Source organism: Homo sapiens, chromosome 10 (assembly GCF_000001405.40).
Source record: "Homo sapiens chromosome 10, GRCh38.p14 Primary Assembly".
Classification (NCBI taxonomy): Eukaryota; Metazoa; Chordata; class Mammalia; order Primates; family Hominidae; genus Homo; species Homo sapiens.
The window spans coordinates 118,864,786-118,883,967 of NC_000010.11; the positions used below are offsets into that span (position 1 = coordinate 118,864,786).

Sequence of the window (19,182 nt, forward strand, 5' to 3'; positions counted from 1 at the left end):
ACTCCTATTCAACATAGTGTTGGAAGTTCTGGCCAGGGCAATCAGGCAGGAGAAAGAAATAAAGGGTATTCAATTAGGAAAAGAGGAAGTCAAATTGTCTCTGTTTGCAGATGACATGATTGTATATTTAGAAAACCTCATCGTCTCAGCCCAAAATCTCCTTAAGCTGATAAGCAACTTCAGCAAAGTCTCAGGATACAAAATCAATGTGCAAAAATCATAAGCATTCCTATACACCAATAATAGAGAGCCAAATCATGAGTGAACTCCCATTCACAATTACTACAAAGAGAATGAAATACCTAAGAATCCAACTTACAAAGGTTGTCTCATCTTAAGAAATTTCCACAGCCTCTCCAACCTGCAGCAACCACCACCCTGACCATCAACACTGGTCATCAGCCAATGTTACCCACAGCAGCCATCAGCCATCAGTCATGCAGTCATCAACATTGAAGTAAGACCCTCCACCAGCGAAAAGATTACAATTCACTGAAGGTGATCATTAGCATGTTTTAGCAATAAAGTTACTATTTATTATATTAACACATTAAATTACAACATTATAATAATAACACTACTTAAGATATGTGAATTTTTGTAGACATAATGCTATCGAACACTTAATAGACTACAGTATAATGTAAGCATAACTTTTATATACACCAGGAAACAAAAAAGTGTGTGTGACTAGTTTTATTTCAATATTCATTTTATTATAGTGGTCTGGAACTGAACCTGCAATATCTCTGAAGTATGTCTATACTTACTGTTTTAAGCTACTGAGTTGAGGGTTGTTTGTTAACATTATTGTACAAATAGATAACTGACACTGCCTAAACTCTTTCTAGGAACTTATCCCATGGAGCTCATTAGACAGACATGCAAACGTGTGAATAAAGATTTCTCTTACAGTGTTGTTTACGATCATTTTTTTAAAAACTTTTTTGGAACAATCTAGATTCTCAATAATAGATTGGCTTTTTTAAAAAAATTAAGACTATACAATGGAATGTCAGCCATTAAAAAAGGTAATGCTTATCAATATTTATTGACATGAAAAGATACTTTATGTTAAATGGAAAATACAGACTGCAAAATAGCTTTTAAGGTTTGATCTATTTTTGTCAAATTTGAGAGAGAGACATGCACCAAAATACTAACAGTAACTAGCTTGAAGAAGTTAGGTGTTTTTACTTCTTTATCCTATTCTGCATTGTGTGAATTTTTTAAATGACTATGTAATATATTTACAGACAGGAAAAAAGTGGAAATGTCACCTAGGAAACTTATCTCTCTTTTATATAAAAACATGGACTTTGAGTCCTTAGAAACCCTGCCTCCTCCACCACCCCCTGCCGATTCCCCTGCTACCAACTCCTGTAATGGAATCTGACTGACCTTGGCGTTGCTCTTCTCACTGGCCCAGGAGAATCAAATCCATGCTGTATGTGTGTGGCGGGGATGGGGAGCACCAAGCCCCAGGGAGGCCTTTGTGCAGATGCCAAGGAATAAGTTTCCCTTCCCAGCTGTCTGCAAACAGAGCAAAGAAATTACCCATGAAACCAACTCCAGCCATGTTAGAAAAAAATCCTTCCATCCAAGTCATAATATTTTTAGAGTGAGATTTACTTTACAATATTTTAATAACTGCAGCATGGTGACTGGAAGTCCTTTGCAGCTGGTCTCCGGGGCCTTCCTGGGACGTTGCACTTAATGAGGTTTATAATTCAATATAACTACATCTGCATCTTTAATTATGCCTAACATTTAATCTTCATTGCTGCACTTGAATTGGAAGAGCTAAAATTAGGCCTGCTTTAGTTTAATCTGATAATAAACATCCATGACATTTAGAGAAAAATGTACTCATTTCATTAGAGTGGCCGAAACATTTGCCATTTGCCTGAACTGAACAAATACTCTCAACAGCCCATCCAACTGTAACAAAGAACATTGTTTTAAACAATTCCCTTGTAGACTCCTGGAACTCTAGAGCTGACAAGGACCTTGGAGGTTAAGTAGTCCAATATCACCACTTTGCCAGTGAGGGCACTAAGGCCCACAGAGGTTAAGTCATTTGTCCAAAGTCACACAGCAAATTAGCAGGTATTACAGGAAACAGAACCCAGGATTCTTTTTATTTTTTTAAGAGTAAAGTGATAGCAAGTTTATTAAGAAAGTATAGGAATAAAAGAATGGGAATAAAAGAATGGCTACTCCATCTGCAGAGCACCAGGATTCTTAAGTCTCTGGCCAAAACAATCTTTGTCATTCTTCTACTGCCAACCTGGGACATCATTTTTTGATGGCTAAGTCTCCCTCTGAGCAACCATCACCTCCCTTTTTTTTTATGGAATTCAGACAGGATGTCATTCAAGTACCTATATTGAGCCTCACAGCCTGACCCCAAACGCAAACTAATAAGAAAATATAAAAGGCAAGATGTTAAAAGACACACCGTCATTAAAACCAAGACAAACATCTCCGTGAACCAAAACCCAAGTAAATAAAGCATAAAATGGGCTGCTGAAGCTTGAGCCGATTTGGCTGCAGGTTCAAAAGGAGACAGAGAACCTGTTTGAGCTTTGATTTAACCTGGGCAGTGGCTGAAAAAAAAAACCTGCTACTGACCACTGCCACGGGGGACCATTTGTCTGAACCTGATTACATAGAAAGAATAGAGAGGTCAGAGGGAGCAGACAGATTCTCCAACAACATCTGGGCCAAGCTGCCCACTGAATTAGTGACAGGGACTGCACATCCCTGGGAAGGCGAAGGGGAAGGGGGAAAGGAGAGAGAGGGAAGGAGAGAAGGAGGGAGAAAGGAAGGAGAGAAAAAGCAAGGAATTAAATAGACACCACTGAAAATCAAATTGCTGGCATGTAAGAAAGCTTTGAGATAATCACACTACTGCAGAGGAAATATATGCAGAGATTAGAGCAATTAGAACATAACAGCTATTTTTTTGAAATGATCTAACACAGAATAGCTGGTACCTTTGAAATAAAGAACTGTCATGGTTAATGTTACGTGTCTACTTGTCTAGACTATGGTGGCTAAAAAGTTTGATTAACACCCATCTAGATGTTGCTATGAAGGTATTCTTTAGATGTGGTTAACTTTTAAATCAGTAGACTTTTAGTTAACAGAATACTCTCATCTGTAATCCAATGTGGGTGGGCCTCAACCAATCAGTTGAAGACCTTAAAAGAAAAAGACTGATGTCCTTCAAGGAAGAAGGAATTCTGCCTTCCGACTGCCTTTAGATTTGAGGCTGCCACATTAGCTCTTCCTGGGTCTCCTGCCTGCCTAGATTTTGGACTTGCCAACTCCCACCATTGCATGAGCGAATTCCTTAAAATCTCTCTCTTTCTCCATATACTTATTTATATTTATTTTTGTATCTGTATTTATATTTAGTTTTGTTTCTCCAGAGGACCCTAATACAAAAACTCAAGAAAATTTTTAAACAGTGTGTTCACATTCACGTGGTTGAAAAATCACATATGTGATAAGACAAAAGGAAAAGGGAAATTTTTAAATTTTTTAACAGAATATTACAAAATAAAATAAAAAGTATATTCAGAAGGATAATTCAGGGAGGATTCCCCCAAAATGAAGGAATCACTAAATCTGACCATTGAGAGGGCATACCATGTAACAAATAAAAATGATATTGAATGCTCAATATTAAGGCATATCCTGCTGAAGCCATTGAACTTGAAAATAAAGTACTTTCTTCAGTACAATGACAATTAATACACGTTGAGGGAATGGCACAATTAGACAATGACAATTTGCAAACCATCATAACGATAATTGACTCAGGCAAGAATCATTAGCAGAGGCTAAAACTTGTGGGTGAAAATTTCAGGATGAACAAGATATTGTCATAGTCTCAAAATACCTCCCCACAAAATACCAATTTCCTACAAAGGTGAAAATAGCAACCATGAAAGTGGAAAAGCCCAGCAGACACCACCGTAACCAAGTAACCAAAGTTACTGTCCGAAGCCATGGCGCAAGGAACACAGCACTGCTATGTGACTCATTCCACTTCTCTAGGCTTGCTATTTTGTCGTTAACCCATTCTCACCTGTGAAGCCATCTACTCTCTGCTTCACACTATCTTGGACTGTCAGCTTTTAGGAGGCAGGGATTGGTCTGCTTAATTTATCCTGAAGGAGCTGGGCAAGAGGCAGATGTTTCCGACCTCATACAGGTGCACCTCAGAAGGGCCTTTACACCCAATCCTTTATTTGACCCTCACAACCTGAAAGCTAAGTCAAACAGGTTTTTCTCTCATTTCTACAAATGCAAAAACAAAGGCTCAGAGAGGTGAAGCCACCTGCCCAAAGTCACACAACTAGCAAGTGGTCAAGCCCAGATATCCTGGCTCCAACAAGATGCTGCAGTAGACACTGTGGTTGATGCCTCAACATCCATCCCAGCCCTGTCCCTCTGTGTGGCCACAGTTATTTCAGGGACTGGCCCTGCCTCCAGATGGGCCTCACTTAGTCAATATGAATTATAGAATCCCATCCCTCTTCATCAGGGATTGGATCAAAAGCCCAGCCTGAGCTTGTCCCTACCTTGTGCCACCTACCTTGTCCCAGGAATTGGTTCTTGCCAATAAGACACAAAAAGTCTGCTGGCCAGGCGCAGTGGCTCACGCCTGTAATCCCAGCACTTTGGGAGACCAAGGCGGGCGGATCACAAGGTCAGGAGATCGAGACCATCCTGGCTAACATGATGAAACCCCATCTGTACTAAAAATACAAAAAAATGAGCCAGGCATGGTGGCGGGCGCCTGTAGTCCCAGCTACTCAGGAGGCTGTGGCAGGAGAATGGCATGAATCTGGGAGGCAGAGCTTGCAGTGAGCCGAGATCGCGCCACTGCACTCCAGCCTGGGCAACAGTGCGAGACTCTGTCTCAAACAAACAAACAAAAAAAAGACATAAGTAGTCTGCTGAGGGCTTTTAGGGAATTTTTCCTTACTATTAAAGGACAAGATTAGACCAGGCCAGATGGCTCACACCTGAAATCCTACAACTCTGGGAGGCCAATGTGGGCAGATTGTGTGAATTCAGGAGTTTGAGACCCGCCTAGGCAACAGCAAAACCCCATCTCTACAAAAAATATAGAAATTGGCTGAGCATGGTCGTGCATGCCTGTAGCCCCAGCTACTCAGTGGGCTGAGGTGGGAGGATTGTTTGAGTCTGGGGGAGGGAGGTTGCAGTGAGCCAAGAATGTGTCCCTGCACTCCAGCCTGGGTGACAGAGCAAGACCCTGTCTCACACACACACACACACACACACACACACACACACACACAAAGCCAGTTTTTGCAGTTCTTAATTCCCACCAAAATTAAATATGCGTATATTGAAAAAAAAAAAAAGCAAGATTAGGAAGTTTCTCCATCTTTCTAGAATGAATGAGGAAGAAGATAGCCCCGCTGGCTGCTGGCAGCAAATCTACAACGAAGTGGTTCTAAAATGAAGTGGATGCTCTGGCTGGCAGAAGAGAGAGGCAGAAAGAACTAGGTATCCTTGATGGCCTCATGAAGCTCAGTGTCACACAGTCTTGAAGCCCACCCTACCTGTGAGCGTCCACTCAGGTAAGGCCACAAAGTTCCTTAACCTTTCAGCTGGGTCAAGTTGGCTTATTTGTTAATTGCAGCTAAAAGCATCCCACTGGACGCAGCACCCTCTCCCTCCCAGCAGCTTGGCATTAGGGAGCCCAGCATCCTGAAAATCCCACTGAGCTCCCAGGAAATAGTAATATCTGCCTCACCAGCCCCACATTGCCCCATCTTCCCCAATGGCTGTTTGCCAACTTTATTGCATCAAATCTATTGAAGTTTTTGTTGTTGTTGTTTTAACTTCGCAGGGAAGGCTGTTCTATGGTGCTGTGAGTCATCCTGGGAAGCAGCAGCCCTAGTGCTAAGGCAGGATGCAGATCAGTCTGTTCCAGTACCCACCTCCCCTCTCTCCTCCCCCGCAAAGGGCAGTTTCCTCTGGAATCCATGCACATGCAATTTATTTCTAACTGCTCCAGCAGGTTCCAATCCTGTTGCTTGCTGCGTCTAGTTATTCACTTGGAATCAGAGCTGCTGGAAAGTCAAAATTAGCCTCATTCTACCAGCATGAAATAGAAACACAGAGGCAGTCCCTTGGCTTTAGGGAGGCAAGAATCTAGAATTTTTCTTATCTCTCTGTGAATACCAGAGCTGAGGGTTACATGGGTCTGTGATTACACAGTCATTTGGAAATTGTGCAAGTTGGAAGCAGCACTGTCATTGACTTCCTGTTAAGAGGAGGCAGCAGGAGAAGCCTTCCAGAGAGGGACACAGGGCAGCCATCTGGTTGGAAGTCATTGTGCTTACATAAGTTGTCTGTTCACTTAAGGAGGCAAGGGTTAAGCAGGCTGCAAGGCAAGGAGTGTGAATGACCCTAAGCCATGCTTGACACCATGCATTAATGATGTTTTTTATCTTCTGTAGTTTATAAAGCTTTGACATCCTGAGGCCTTGCTAATCCTGGAGAGACTCCCCTTCCAGGGCTAGCTAATTTCTAGAGATAGTAAACAATTTGCCTGCCAACATATCTTTCATATACAAACCAACCAATCCAAAACCTGTATCCCCAACCACTTCCTTTATTTAACTCTCACACACCAAGCCCATATTTTCCTTGCCCTAAATCACCCCAGGACCAAGTAACAGACTACTGGAGACCATTCCTATAGCCTAGAACCCGCAGACATTATTCAAACTCTCTAATTCTAAGCTTGCTCAAACTTGCCAATCCTGCCTCACCCATCCCTCCCCACGGAATCCCCAATAAGGTCTATGGGTCATGCCCTCTCTTCATTCTTTCTGCCTCATGACCAACTCTGGTGCCTTTGCATGTGACCCTGCATGGCACAGCATGCCCCCTTCTCTTGGGAACTGTAATAAACTCCTTTCAAGGCATATTTCTCTATGTCTGTCATCTTACCATACCTAATTAAAACAAAATCCTAGATCCTTTGTTTGTTTTTGCTTATTTTTTATTTGTTTGTTTTAGAGACAGGGTCTCACTCTATCACGCAGGCTAGAGTACAGTGGCATGATCATAGCTCATTGCAGCCTCGACCTCCTGGACTCAAGTGATCCTCCTGCCTCAGCCTTCTGAGTAGCCGGGACTACAAGCACGTGCCACCATATCTGGCTAATTTTTTTTTTCCTTTTAATTACATTTATTTTAATGCTGAATTTACTCCTGTGCCATAAGTTTTTGTTTCTTCAGTTTCTTCTGGGATATCTTTTTCTTCTGGGCAACCTCCTCTTCTGATTTAGGAACAATCTGTTCCTTTTCCGTAAGGATCATCTCAATGTGGCAGGGAGAGCTCATGTATGGGTTAATCCGACCATGAGCTCTGTGGGTCCGGCGGCGCATCTTAGGTGTTTTGTTCACTTGGATGTGCTCAATGACCAGAGAATCTACATCTAAACCCTTAAGTTCAGCATTACTCTCTGCGTTTTTAAGCATGTGCAGCAAAAATTCAGCACTCTTTTTGGGCCACCGACCTTGTGTCCAGCCCCACTGCTTGGCCTGCGTACACCTGCTAACTCCACCATTGTAACGTAGGAATGGTACACACTGTTTCTGTAAAGTGACATCTTTCAGATACTTCTTGGCTTTTCATATATGTATACCCTTGATGGCCTGAGCAGTTTCATGGTGTTCTTAAAGTGAACACAAAGATTGGAACCTCTTGATTTGCATCATTTCGTGGGGTTCTCCGGGTCAAGTGAATAGCGAACCATTTTCACAGATTACCTCAGGCTGCTTAGGGAAACAGCATTTTTTTTTTTTTTTTTTTTTTTTTTAGAGCTAGGGCCTCACTATTTTGCCCAGGCTACTGGTCTTGAACTCCTGGTGTCGGGCCTCATCCTCCCAAAGTGCTGGAATTACAGGTGTGAGCCACCATGCCTGGTCCCGGGTACATTTTAAAACCCACCACCACCTATAACTTACTCTGAGCTAGACATGTTTAGATGCATTATCTTAGGTCATTTCTACCACACTGCAAAGTAGAAACTATTAGCTCCATGTTACCTGTGAGAAAGTGAAGCTTGGTAGGCTAAGTAACTTGCTGATGTTGGTTGACAAGGAAATACTGATCATGAGCCAAGGGTGACACAGCAGACTTCTTTTTATAGAGATATAAGAAATTTTAAAGATATTGGTGTGTAGTGGGGGAGTTGGATACCGGTGATCAAAAGTAAAATAAGTTTTATTTTAGAAGAGAAATGTATTAGGCTTAGTTAGTGGACATGAAATATACTGTGAGTATATTCAAAGGAGATATTGGGGAAACCTGACATAATAACTAGAAAATAACTGATGGCACAACTACATCAAATCTCTTGAGTTTTTGTTTACATTCCTTCAACCTCAAGAGGAGTTAAGCCAAGACGGAATGCAGCCAAGTGGGGCAGAATTTCCAGCTCAGACTGAACTCTGCAGCCTACCTCCTCTCTAGGGTGTCCCAGATACAAGACATGCTGGCCGTCCCCAGCATGTTAATGATATAATGAGAAAAGCCACATGCAAGAAGTAAATAGTACTGAGAGGAAGAGCAACATGTGGCCTCACTCCTTGCTACTCAAAGTTTGGTCTGTGGACCAGCAGCATTAGCATCACCTGGGAAATGATTAGAAATGCAGAATCTCAGACTCTGTCGCAGACTTCCTGAATCTGCATGTTAACAAGATCCCTGGGTAATTCACATGCATGTTGCAATTTTAAAAGTTCTGGCCTTTGTAGTTCCACCCTTAGGAACGAGGGGAGTTGGGGAAATGATTCAGATGTGGGTGAAGGATGAGATCAGACAGAAATGGTCTTAAGCTATAAATTAAAGGGCTGGTACTGAGACTGCACACTTGGTAGTTTGAGGGTGCCACAGACCTAATGTAGCTCCCACTGCTTTGGTCATAGTTAGGTTATCAGAGTATTGCCAGTTTGAGCTGGATAATTATTTGTCATGGGAGCTGTCCTATGAACTGTAGGCGGTTTAATAGCATTCCTGGCCTCCAACCACTAGATTCCAGGAGTGCTCACCATCCCCTATCACTCCATGCCCCAACCTGCAGTTATGACAACCAAAGTTATCTCCACACATTGCCAAATGTTCTGAGGCAGACAGAAGGGAGAGGGTATGTGTACAAAATCACCCCCCTCAATTGAGAACAACTGAGGTAGATAAAGCACGTTTCATGAATTCATGTTGCCTCACCTGTTCTACCTGGGACCATCAGTTATGAGAGAAGATCCCAGGGCTGGGAGATAGTGGAATTTGTGTGTGGTCAGGGTATGAATTTGCTGCTGCAATTGTATTCCAGCTCTCTGCTGCCATCAGAAGAGAGAAGAGCCCCCAAAGGGATGGAAGGAAGGTCAACAATAATTTAGTGGGATGCCAGGATAAAAAGTCATTTATCTGGCTTCTAAGCCCACGTTACTTCCATTGTACCATGCCACTCCAAGTCAGGAGTAGCAGGAAGTGCTCTGGACCGTGAGCTATGAGATGTAGGTGTTAAGGCCAGCTCAGTCCTTATCAGCTATTTGTCTTTGGATGAGCACTTCTATCTATGGGCCACAGTTTCCTCTTTCAGGTTGGCCAAGATATTACCCTTCCAGTTTTGTCATTCCATGAAAATCCCAGAAATGATAAGAGTCATATCCATCAACTTCACAAGGCTGAATTTCCTAGTGGAAAACACAGATATAGACAAGATATAGTTGGCTGATCTTCAGCTCCCAGCTAGGCTGAGAAGAGACAAGTCCCCAGGAGGATCAAGCAGCCCAAGAGAGAAGTCTCACCATGTAATAACCTGGTCCAGTGGAGAAAATGGGCAGTGTGAGCAAGCCTCAATCAAGGCAGATACTGCTTTCATCTGAAACAGGGGAATGTGGATGGATGGTTGCCCAAGACCTTTCCGGATTGGATATTCCTTGACTCTAAGGCTGTGGAAATGACTCCTCTCTTATGGCACATTCAGATGGAGAACACTGAGTCTCAGTAACCAAATGATTCCCAAGCCTAGAGTCCTCTTCAAATTATTTTCCAGAACTTAAATAAAACTGGGCCTCTTCTAGGCCTGTCTCAGTTCAGGGCTGCATCCAAAGAAACCCAGATCCATTTCCTTAATGCTTTGGAAAGAAGCAAGTCCATATAAAAGTTATCTTGATGAAGCAGCAAAAGGGAAGTTACATCACATAGCACATACCAAGCCTACCTAAAAATAATTTACATTCTCTCCTCCTAAACCCTCTCCTAAATATACCTCCTAGCCTACCTTCTGCCATGGCCAACCTGGCCTTAACAGCAATTATTTTTACCTCTATTGCCTCCCCAGCTAGCCTGTCCTATGCAGAGCCTTCCAGATTGCCTCCAGCTTCTATCATTCTCCTCTCCACTACTCACCCTGAATAGCACCACAAATCCCTGCAATTGGCTCTATCCATGAGAAGCAGATTTGGTTGCATGAATCAGAAAACTAAAATTATCAGTGGCTTAACCACTCAAGGTCTTAGTCTCACATATCAGAAGTCTGGAAGTTATTAATTCAGGGTTTGTGTAGTAGTTCCCTCATACCTCCCATTCTCTCTTCTGCCACATCTAGGCGTGGTCTCTGTTACCAGGTCTAAGAGGGCTGCTGTAGCACCAGTCATAATGTATGTTTCCATCCTCAGAAATGAGAGAAGGGGATGAGAGGGCACATAGCTACCTTTAAGGACACTTTACAGAGTTTTGCTGATGTTTAAAATGTAGAAGAATGAAAAGGCCTTAAATCTTAAAGTACCAACAAGAAAAACATGGACACAATAACTATACTTTTCTATGAGTCTAGCAAAGAGTGAAGTACGCAAGCCTTGATGAACTGAATTCCAGTAAGTAATGAGACCTTAATAGGGAAAAGAGGGCCATGGCAGCTTTCCTACCTGAGAAAGGTTGAGAAGCTGGTTTGGCTCCATGGGGCATGTTATACAGGGAGAGATTTTCTAGCAATGAGGAGGAATCAGCCTAGCCTTAGTTGACTATGTGTCAATCAAGGTCATTTCCTGGTACAGAACCAGGGATATTTCTCACGGGTTTGACCTTACTCAAAATGGGGAGCTGGTAGAACAGTTCACATTAATGGTTGCCTCTGCAACTAGTGTTCAGCCTAAAATCACTAGAGGTCAGTCAGACTGGCAGCAGAAAGGAAAACTGAATGTGGATAAAGACAAGGACAAACTGGAATCACAAGGATGCACTAGGACCCATGAAGACAGCTGAAACCCATAAGGGCAAACTGGAATACACATCTGTCACTCACTCTTTCCAAAGTTAATCCTGTGGATCATCTACTGAAAAAGCTAACATGCTTTACTTTAGAGGTACACATGCAGTTGACCCACATCTCAGAGAAGATGAAAGGGATCTCCCGGGAGATAGAGAATCTGGGGATCAGCTGCTGCCCCATACCTGTTAGTATTCTTGGTACTCCCATTGACCTTCAGAATATAAAATAATATAGCTGCAGCTTTATTTCCATCTTCCAAGTTTTATGCAAAATGTCTCTTGTGGTCTAAACTAATCCAGAAGCACAGGAAAGGAAATTCTGGAAAACATAGCTTCAGTCCAGCCAAATTGGTGAAATATAGAGGTATCACAGATTGTAGGCTGACAGGATGGGGTGGAATCTGGAAGAGCCCCAAATACAAAAATAAATTGCTCAGAGCAGCAATTCTCCCCCTACAAAAAATTTTGCCAAGAAAGAGGTCATGAAGTAAGGGCAGGTAAGCAGAGATAAAACATTTAGTTCCACTCAACCTCATGGTGATTGAATTTTGGGGCCCTGAGGAGTTGAATGCAAAGTGAATCAAAAATACCTGAAACTGCAATCCAACCTCCCCTGAGTCAAATATTGACCCTTCCCTGCAAGACAAGAGGAGTAAGTCTGCACTCTCTGGAAAACAAATGAAACAAACAAAAAATGTTATACTTCAGTCTCCACAATAAATAATTATGAAATGTGCTAAAAAGCAAGAACATGTAACCAAAAGTCAGGAAAATCAACAGTCAATAAAAGCAGATCCATGGACTAATTGTTGGAGTTGACAGACAAGAAATTTAAATCAACTGTTATAAATATGTTAAATAAGTTATGGGAAAAGAGGAATATAATGGCTGAATAGATCAGTAATTTCAAGATAAAAATTGAAAAAAATAAAAGTTAAAAAAGAACCAAATAGAAATTCTAGAACTGAAAAATAATAATATATTATGGGATTTATGACAAATTTAAAAGTTAAATATAACCACAATAGCACAAAATATGGGAGGGGAGTAAAGGTTCTTACATTATTCATGAACTCAAGGTAGACTATGATAAATTAAGGATACACAGTTAATCCCTAGTAAAATCATTATAAAAGTATTAAGAGATATAGCTAAAAGCCAAATAGAATATATGACATAAAATATGAAGTACACTTGCTTAATCCAAAAGAAGACAGAAAAGAAGGAACAAAAAACAGAACTTAAAGGAAAAAAATAACAGAATGGTAAACTTAAACATAACCATATCAATAATTGTATTACATGTAAATGGATTAAACACTCCTATTAAAAAGTAGAGCCTGTCAGACTAGATACACAAGCAAGATCAAACTATATGTTGCCTACTAGACACAAACTTTAAATACAAATATAAATGTAAAAAGATAGAAAAAATGTACCATGCAAAAATTAATAAAGATGCTGAAGTGGCTATAATATTAGTCAAAGTAGACTTTATAATAAAAATATTACCAGAGTTAAAGGTAGAATTAGTGATAAAAAGTCAATGCATTTAAAATATGTAACAATCTTCAATGCATATGTACCTAATAACTTCAAAATGCATGTGGCAGAAATTAACAGAACTAAAAAGGAGAAATAGACAAATCCAAAAGTATAAAAGGATATTTTCATATCACATTCTCAGAAATTCATAGAATAAGTAGACAAAATATCAGTAGAAACATATAAAATCTGAATAACACTATTAACCAACTTGGCCTAATTGTCACTTACAAAATATACTAAGCCATGATACAAGTCTGAAAAAATGTTAAATGACCAAGGTAATTTATATGATTCCCTAATCGAATGTAAATTACAAATCAATAATTTAAAAATTTAGAATATTCTTAAATATCTGGAAATTAAGCAACACTCTCCTAAGCAATCCATAGGTCAATAAGGAAATCACAAGAGAAACTGAAAATAGTTCTAATGGATAATAATGAAAACACAACTTACCAAAATCTATGGTATGTAGCTGAAGCAGTATTAGAAATTTATATTCTTAACTGGTTATAGTATAGAAGAAAGATTTCAAATCAATAATCTAAGCCTCCAATTTAATAAGCTAGAAAAATAAGAGTAAAAATGCAAAATAAGTAAATAGAAGAACATTAAAAGTAAAAATTAGTGAAATAGAAAACACATGAAAAAGAGAGAATATCAGTAAGACCACAAGTTGATTCTTTGACTAGATTAAAACTGATCAACCTTAGCAAAGCTAATCGAGAAAAAAGGAAAAAATTACCAATATTACGAATTTTAAAAAGCATTACTACAGATCCTATGTACACTAAAAGGATAATAAAGTAATAATATTAATAACCTTATGTCAGATTTTTACTTTTTAGATTAAATGGACACATTCCTTGTAAAATACAACTTATCAAAACTGACAGAAAAAACAGAAAATCTGAAGAGCCATATATCTGTCCAAAAACATGAAGTTGTAATTGAAAACCTTTCCATAAAGAAAACTCCAGGCCCAGATGGCTTCCTTGGTAAATTTTCTTCCAGGAAAAAATATTTAAGGAAGAAATAACATTAATCTTACAAAAATTATTCTATAAAATAGAAGAAGGAACATTTACTAAATCATTTTTATGGGGTCTGTATAATCTTTTTACTAAAACAAAGATGTCATAAGCAAAGACCATTACAGACTAATATCCCTCATGAATATAGACACAAAGATCCTTAACAAAATGTTATCAATCTATAAAAGGGATAATACATTATGACTAAGTGGGGTTTATTTCAGGAATACAACATCAATTTAACATATAAAAATAATGAATCAATGCAATGCACCACATTTACAGAATAAAGGAGAAAATCCAAATGATCATCACAGCAGTCACAGACAAAGCATATAACAAAATTCAATACAAATTTTTTAAAACAACAAAACCAAAAACAAACAAAACTCCAAGCAAAATATACATACAAGAAAACTTCCTTAATCTTCTAAAGGATAGTTACAAAAATCTTACAGCTAACATCATACTTAATGGTGACATATTGAATGCTTTCTTTCTGAGATTAACAAGGTAAGGGTATCTGCTCTCACCATTTCTATTCAATATTGTGCTGGAGTTTCCTAGACATTGAAATAACGCAAGAAAAAGAAACAAATAGGCAAGGCACAGTGGCTCACGCCTGTAATCCCAGCACTTTGAGAGGCTGAGGTAGGCGGATCACCTGAGGGCAGGAGTTTGAGACCAGCCTGGTCAACATGGTGAAACCCTGTCTCTAATAAAAATATAAAAAATTAGTGGGGTGTGGTGGCAGTCGCCTGTAATCCCAGCTACTCAGGAGGCTGAGGCAGGAGAATCACTTGAACCCAGGAGGTGGAGGCGGAGGCTGCAGTGAGCTGAGATCACACCATTGTACTTCAGCTCAGACAACAAGAATGAAACTCCATCTCAGAAAAAGAAAGAGAGAGAGAAAGAAAGAAAAGAAAGAAAGGAAAGAAAGAAAGAAAGAAAGAAAGAAAGAAAGAAAGAAAGAAAGAAAGAAAGAGAGAGAGAAAGAAGAAAAGAAAAGAAATAATATAAGGATATAACGTTTGGAACAAAGTAAAAGTATTTTTATTTGCAGGTGATGGTTGTTTACATGAAATCCACCTAAGAAATCACTAAAAAGTTCCTAAAACTAACAAATGAATTTATCAACATCTTAGGATAAACAGGCCATATGTAAACATTCGCTGAATTTCTACATACTAGGAGCAAATAATTGCAAAATGGAATTTAAAAAATATCTACAATAGCATTTAGAAAATACTTAAGGGCAAATTTAACAAAAAACCTGCAAAATCTGCACACTGAAAATTACAAACATTGCTGAGAAAAAAATTTAAAGACCTAAAAAATGAAATTATATACCATGTTCATGGGTTATAAAGACTTGCTATGGTTAGGATATCAAGTTTTCCCAGATTCAAAACAATCTCAATGCAAATTCTATTTTTATAGACATTGAAAAACCCCCTCTAAAATTTGTATGGAAATAAATGCAAAGTATCTAAATTGGCCAAAATAATTTTGGAAATTTTTTTTAAAAACTCATACTACTTGTATCTACAACTTACAATAAGGCTATGATAATTAAATTGGTGTGGAATTGGCATAGAGACAAAAATACGAATGGAACAGAATAGAGTCCAGAAGTAGATCCAAATATATATTGTCAACTTATTTTTGATGAGACATTAAGGCAGTTTGTGGGGTGGGGGGTGGTTCAACAAATTATGCTGAAACAACCACCAGACATCCATGCAGGAAAAAATGAAGCTCAACCCCTACCTCATAGCATACACAAAAATTAATTTGAAACGGATCACAGACTTTAGTGTAAAAGCTAAAACTATAAAGCTGCTAAGAGAAATCATTTGAATATTGCTTCACAAATTTGAGTTAGAGAAAGTTGACTTAAAGAGCACAAAAAAAGCATAAACCATAAAAGACAAAACTGATAACTTGCATTTCATCAAAATTAAAAGCTTCCGCTCTTTTGAAAAACACTGTTAAGCAACCCACTGACTGGAAGAAAATGCATGCAAAATATATTTCTGACAAAGGACTTGCATCCTTTATCAGAATACATAAGTAACTCTTGCAACTCAATCAGAAGAAAACACCCTCAGAAATTAAAATGAAGACATAACAACTAATACCACAGAAAGAGAAAGAATCATTAGAAACTATTAGAAACAACTATACTCTAACACATCAGAAAACCTAGAAGTGTATAAATTCCTGGACACGTACAACTTACTTACCAAGATTAAATCTTGAGGAAATAGAAAACCTGAACAACCCATAATCGTAATGAGATCAAAGCCATAATAAAAAGTCTCCCATCAAAGAAAAGCTCATGATCTGATGGCTTCACTGCTGAGTACTAACAAACACTTAAAGAACTAATGTCAATTCTACTAAACACTTAAAAAAAATTGAAGAGGAGGGAATACCTCCAAACTCAGTCTACAAAGCCAGCATTACCCTGATACCAAAACCAGACAAGGACACAAGAAAAAAAGAAAACTATGAGCCAATCTCCCTCATGAACATAGACACAAAAATCCTCAACAAAATAGCAAACCAAATTCAACAACACATTAAAAAGATCATTCACCATGATCAAGTGGGATTCATCCCAGAGATGCAAGGATGGTTCAACATACACAAATCAATAAACGTGATATATCACATAGACAGAACAAAAGATAAAAATCATATGATCATTTCAATAGATACTGAAAGAGCATTTGATAAAATTTAACATCCCTTTATGATAAAAATGCTCAACAAACTGGGTACCTCAAAACAATAAAGACTATATATGACAAACCCACAGCTAGTATCATCCTGAATGGGAAAAAAATTAAAAGCCTTTCCTCTAAGATCTGGAACAAGACAAATGTGTCCACTTTCACCACTTTATTCAACATAAGACTGGAAATCCTAGCCAGGGCAACCAAACAAGAGAAAGAAATAAAGGTCATCCAAATTTAAAAGGAAGAAGTTATATTATTCTTTTTCGCAGATGACATAATCTTACATTTAGAAAACCCTAAAGACTCCACCAAAAATCTGTTAGAACTGATCAATGAATTCAGTAAAGTTGGAGGATACAAAATCAACATACAAAAATCAGTAGCATTTCTATATGCCAAGAGCAAACAATCTGAAAAAGAAAACAAGAAATCAAATCCATTTATAATAGCTACAAAAAATAAGATATGCAGAAATAAACTTAACCAAAGAAATGAAAGATCTATACAAGGAAAAGTATAAAATTATCATGAAGAAATTGAATAGAATTCAAGAATATGGAAAGATATTCCACACTTAACAATGGAGAGAATATTGTTAAAATGTCAATACTACCCAAAGTGATCTACAGATTTAATGCAATCCCTATTAAAATGCCAATGACATTCTCCACAGAAACAGAAAAAAAAAATCCTAAAACTTACATGGAACCACATAAGACCCCAAATAGCCAAAGCAATCCTGAGCAAAAAGAAAAGCTGGAAACGTCACGCTACCAGACTTCAAAATATACTGCAATGCTATAGTAACCAAATCAGCATGGTACTGGCATAAAAAGACACATAGACCAATGGAGCAGAATAAAAACCCAGTAATATATCTACAAATCTATAGTCAGTTCATTTTCAACAAAGGCACTAAGAATATACATTGGAGAAAAAACAGTCTCTTCAATAAATGGTGCTGGGGAAACAGGATAAAACCGTATCAAGAATGAAACTAGGCCCTTATCTCTCACCATACACAAAAATCAAATCAAAATGGATTAAAGACTTACATCTAAGACCTGAAAGTATGAAACTACTAGAAGAAAACATTGGAGAAATGCTCCAGGATGTTGTTCTGGGCAAAGATGTTTTGCATAAGACCTCAAAAGCACAGGCAACAAATGCAAAAATAGAAATTAAGATAAATCAACCTAAAAAAGCTTCTGCACAGCAAAGGAAACAATTAACAAAGTGAAGGGACAACCAACAGAATGGGAGAAAATATTTGCAAACTATTTATCTGACAAGAGATTAATAATCAGCATATATAAGGAATTCAAACAACAGCAAAACGCAAATAATTCAATTTTAAAATGGGCAAAAGATCTGAATAGACATTTTCAAAAGAAGACTTACAAATGGCCAGCAGGGTATGAAACATTGATCAACACCACAAATTATCAGAGAAATGCAGATCAAAACCACAAGGAGCTCCACCCCAGTTAAAATGGCTGCTATCAAAAAGACAGTGATTAGCAGATGCTGGCAAGGATGTAGAGAAAGGGGAACCCTTGTACACTGCTGGTGGGAGTGTAAGTTAGTAAACCTCTACGGAAAACATTATAGGTATTCCTCAAAACCTAAAAATAGAGCTACCATATGATCCAGCAATCTCACTACTGGGTATACATCCAAAAGAAAGAAAAACAATATATCAAAGAGATATCTACACTCCTGTGTTAACTGCAGCATTATTCACAATAACCAAAATTTGGAATCAACCTAAATGTCCATCAGTGGATCAATAAAGACAATTTGGTATGTATGCACAATGGAATTTTATTCAGCCATAAAAAATAACACAGTCTTCTCATTTGCAGCAACATGGGTGGTACTAGAGGTCATTATGTTAAGTAAAATAAGCCAAGCCAGGAAGGCAAGTATCACATGTTTTCACTCCTATATGGGAGCTAAGAAAGTGAATCTCATGAAGATAGAGAGTAGTTGGCTTCTTGGTTATCAGAAGCCAAGAAGTGGAGGGGGTGGGAGTAAATGAAGAGAGGTTGATTAATGGACACAAAAATACAGATAGATGGAGGAAATAAGACCTAGCACTCAATAAATCAGTAGAGTGACTGTAGTAAACAATAATCTGTTGTATATTTCAAAATAGGTAGCAGAGAATAATTTCAATATTCGCAGAATAAAGAAAAGATAGATGTTTAAGGTGATGAGAATCCTAATTACTCTGATTTGATTATTACACATTATATGAATGTATCAAAGTATCATATGTACCCCCAAAATATACACATCTATTATGTATCAATAAACAAGACACCCTAATAAAAAAGGAACAAAGATTTAAACAGATTTTCCATCCAAATAAGATATATGGATGGCAAATAAGCACAATGAAATATGTTCAACATTATTAGTCACAGGAAAATGCAAATTAAAGCCACACTTAGATGTCATTACATACCCATTAGAATAGCTAAAATTAAAATGACTGACAATGCTAAGTGTTGGT

At 38.4% G+C, this 19,182-nt stretch overlaps 1 long non-coding RNA gene and 1 pseudogene across 2 annotated transcripts in view, besides 1 other annotated feature; both read right to left on the reverse strand.

Annotated features, from left to right (window-relative positions):
* The window catches only part of LINC03036 (long intergenic non-protein coding RNA 3036), a 245,028-nt gene that overhangs the window by 80,242 nt on the left and 145,604 nt on the right, over positions 1 to 19,182 (reverse strand). For both annotated transcript variants that reach the window (NR_186540.1, NR_186541.1), the window contains one exon: positions 1,402 to 1,533. This is a non-coding gene — a long non-coding RNA (long intergenic non-protein coding RNA 3036). The remainder of the gene's footprint in view (positions 1 to 1,401; positions 1,534 to 19,182) is intronic.
* Positions 1,152 to 1,446: an enhancer, noted in NCBI's record as "tiled region #10884; HepG2 Activating DNase matched - State 8:EnhW". NCBI's record gives its function as "activates a minimal TATA promoter and a strong SV40 promoter by Sharpr-MPRA in HepG2 cells {active_cell/tissue: HepG2}" and the evidence as "EXISTENCE:reporter gene assay evidence [ECO:0000049][PMID:27701403]".
* On the reverse strand, positions 7,226 to 7,838 carry RPL17P36 (ribosomal protein L17 pseudogene 36; annotated as a pseudogene).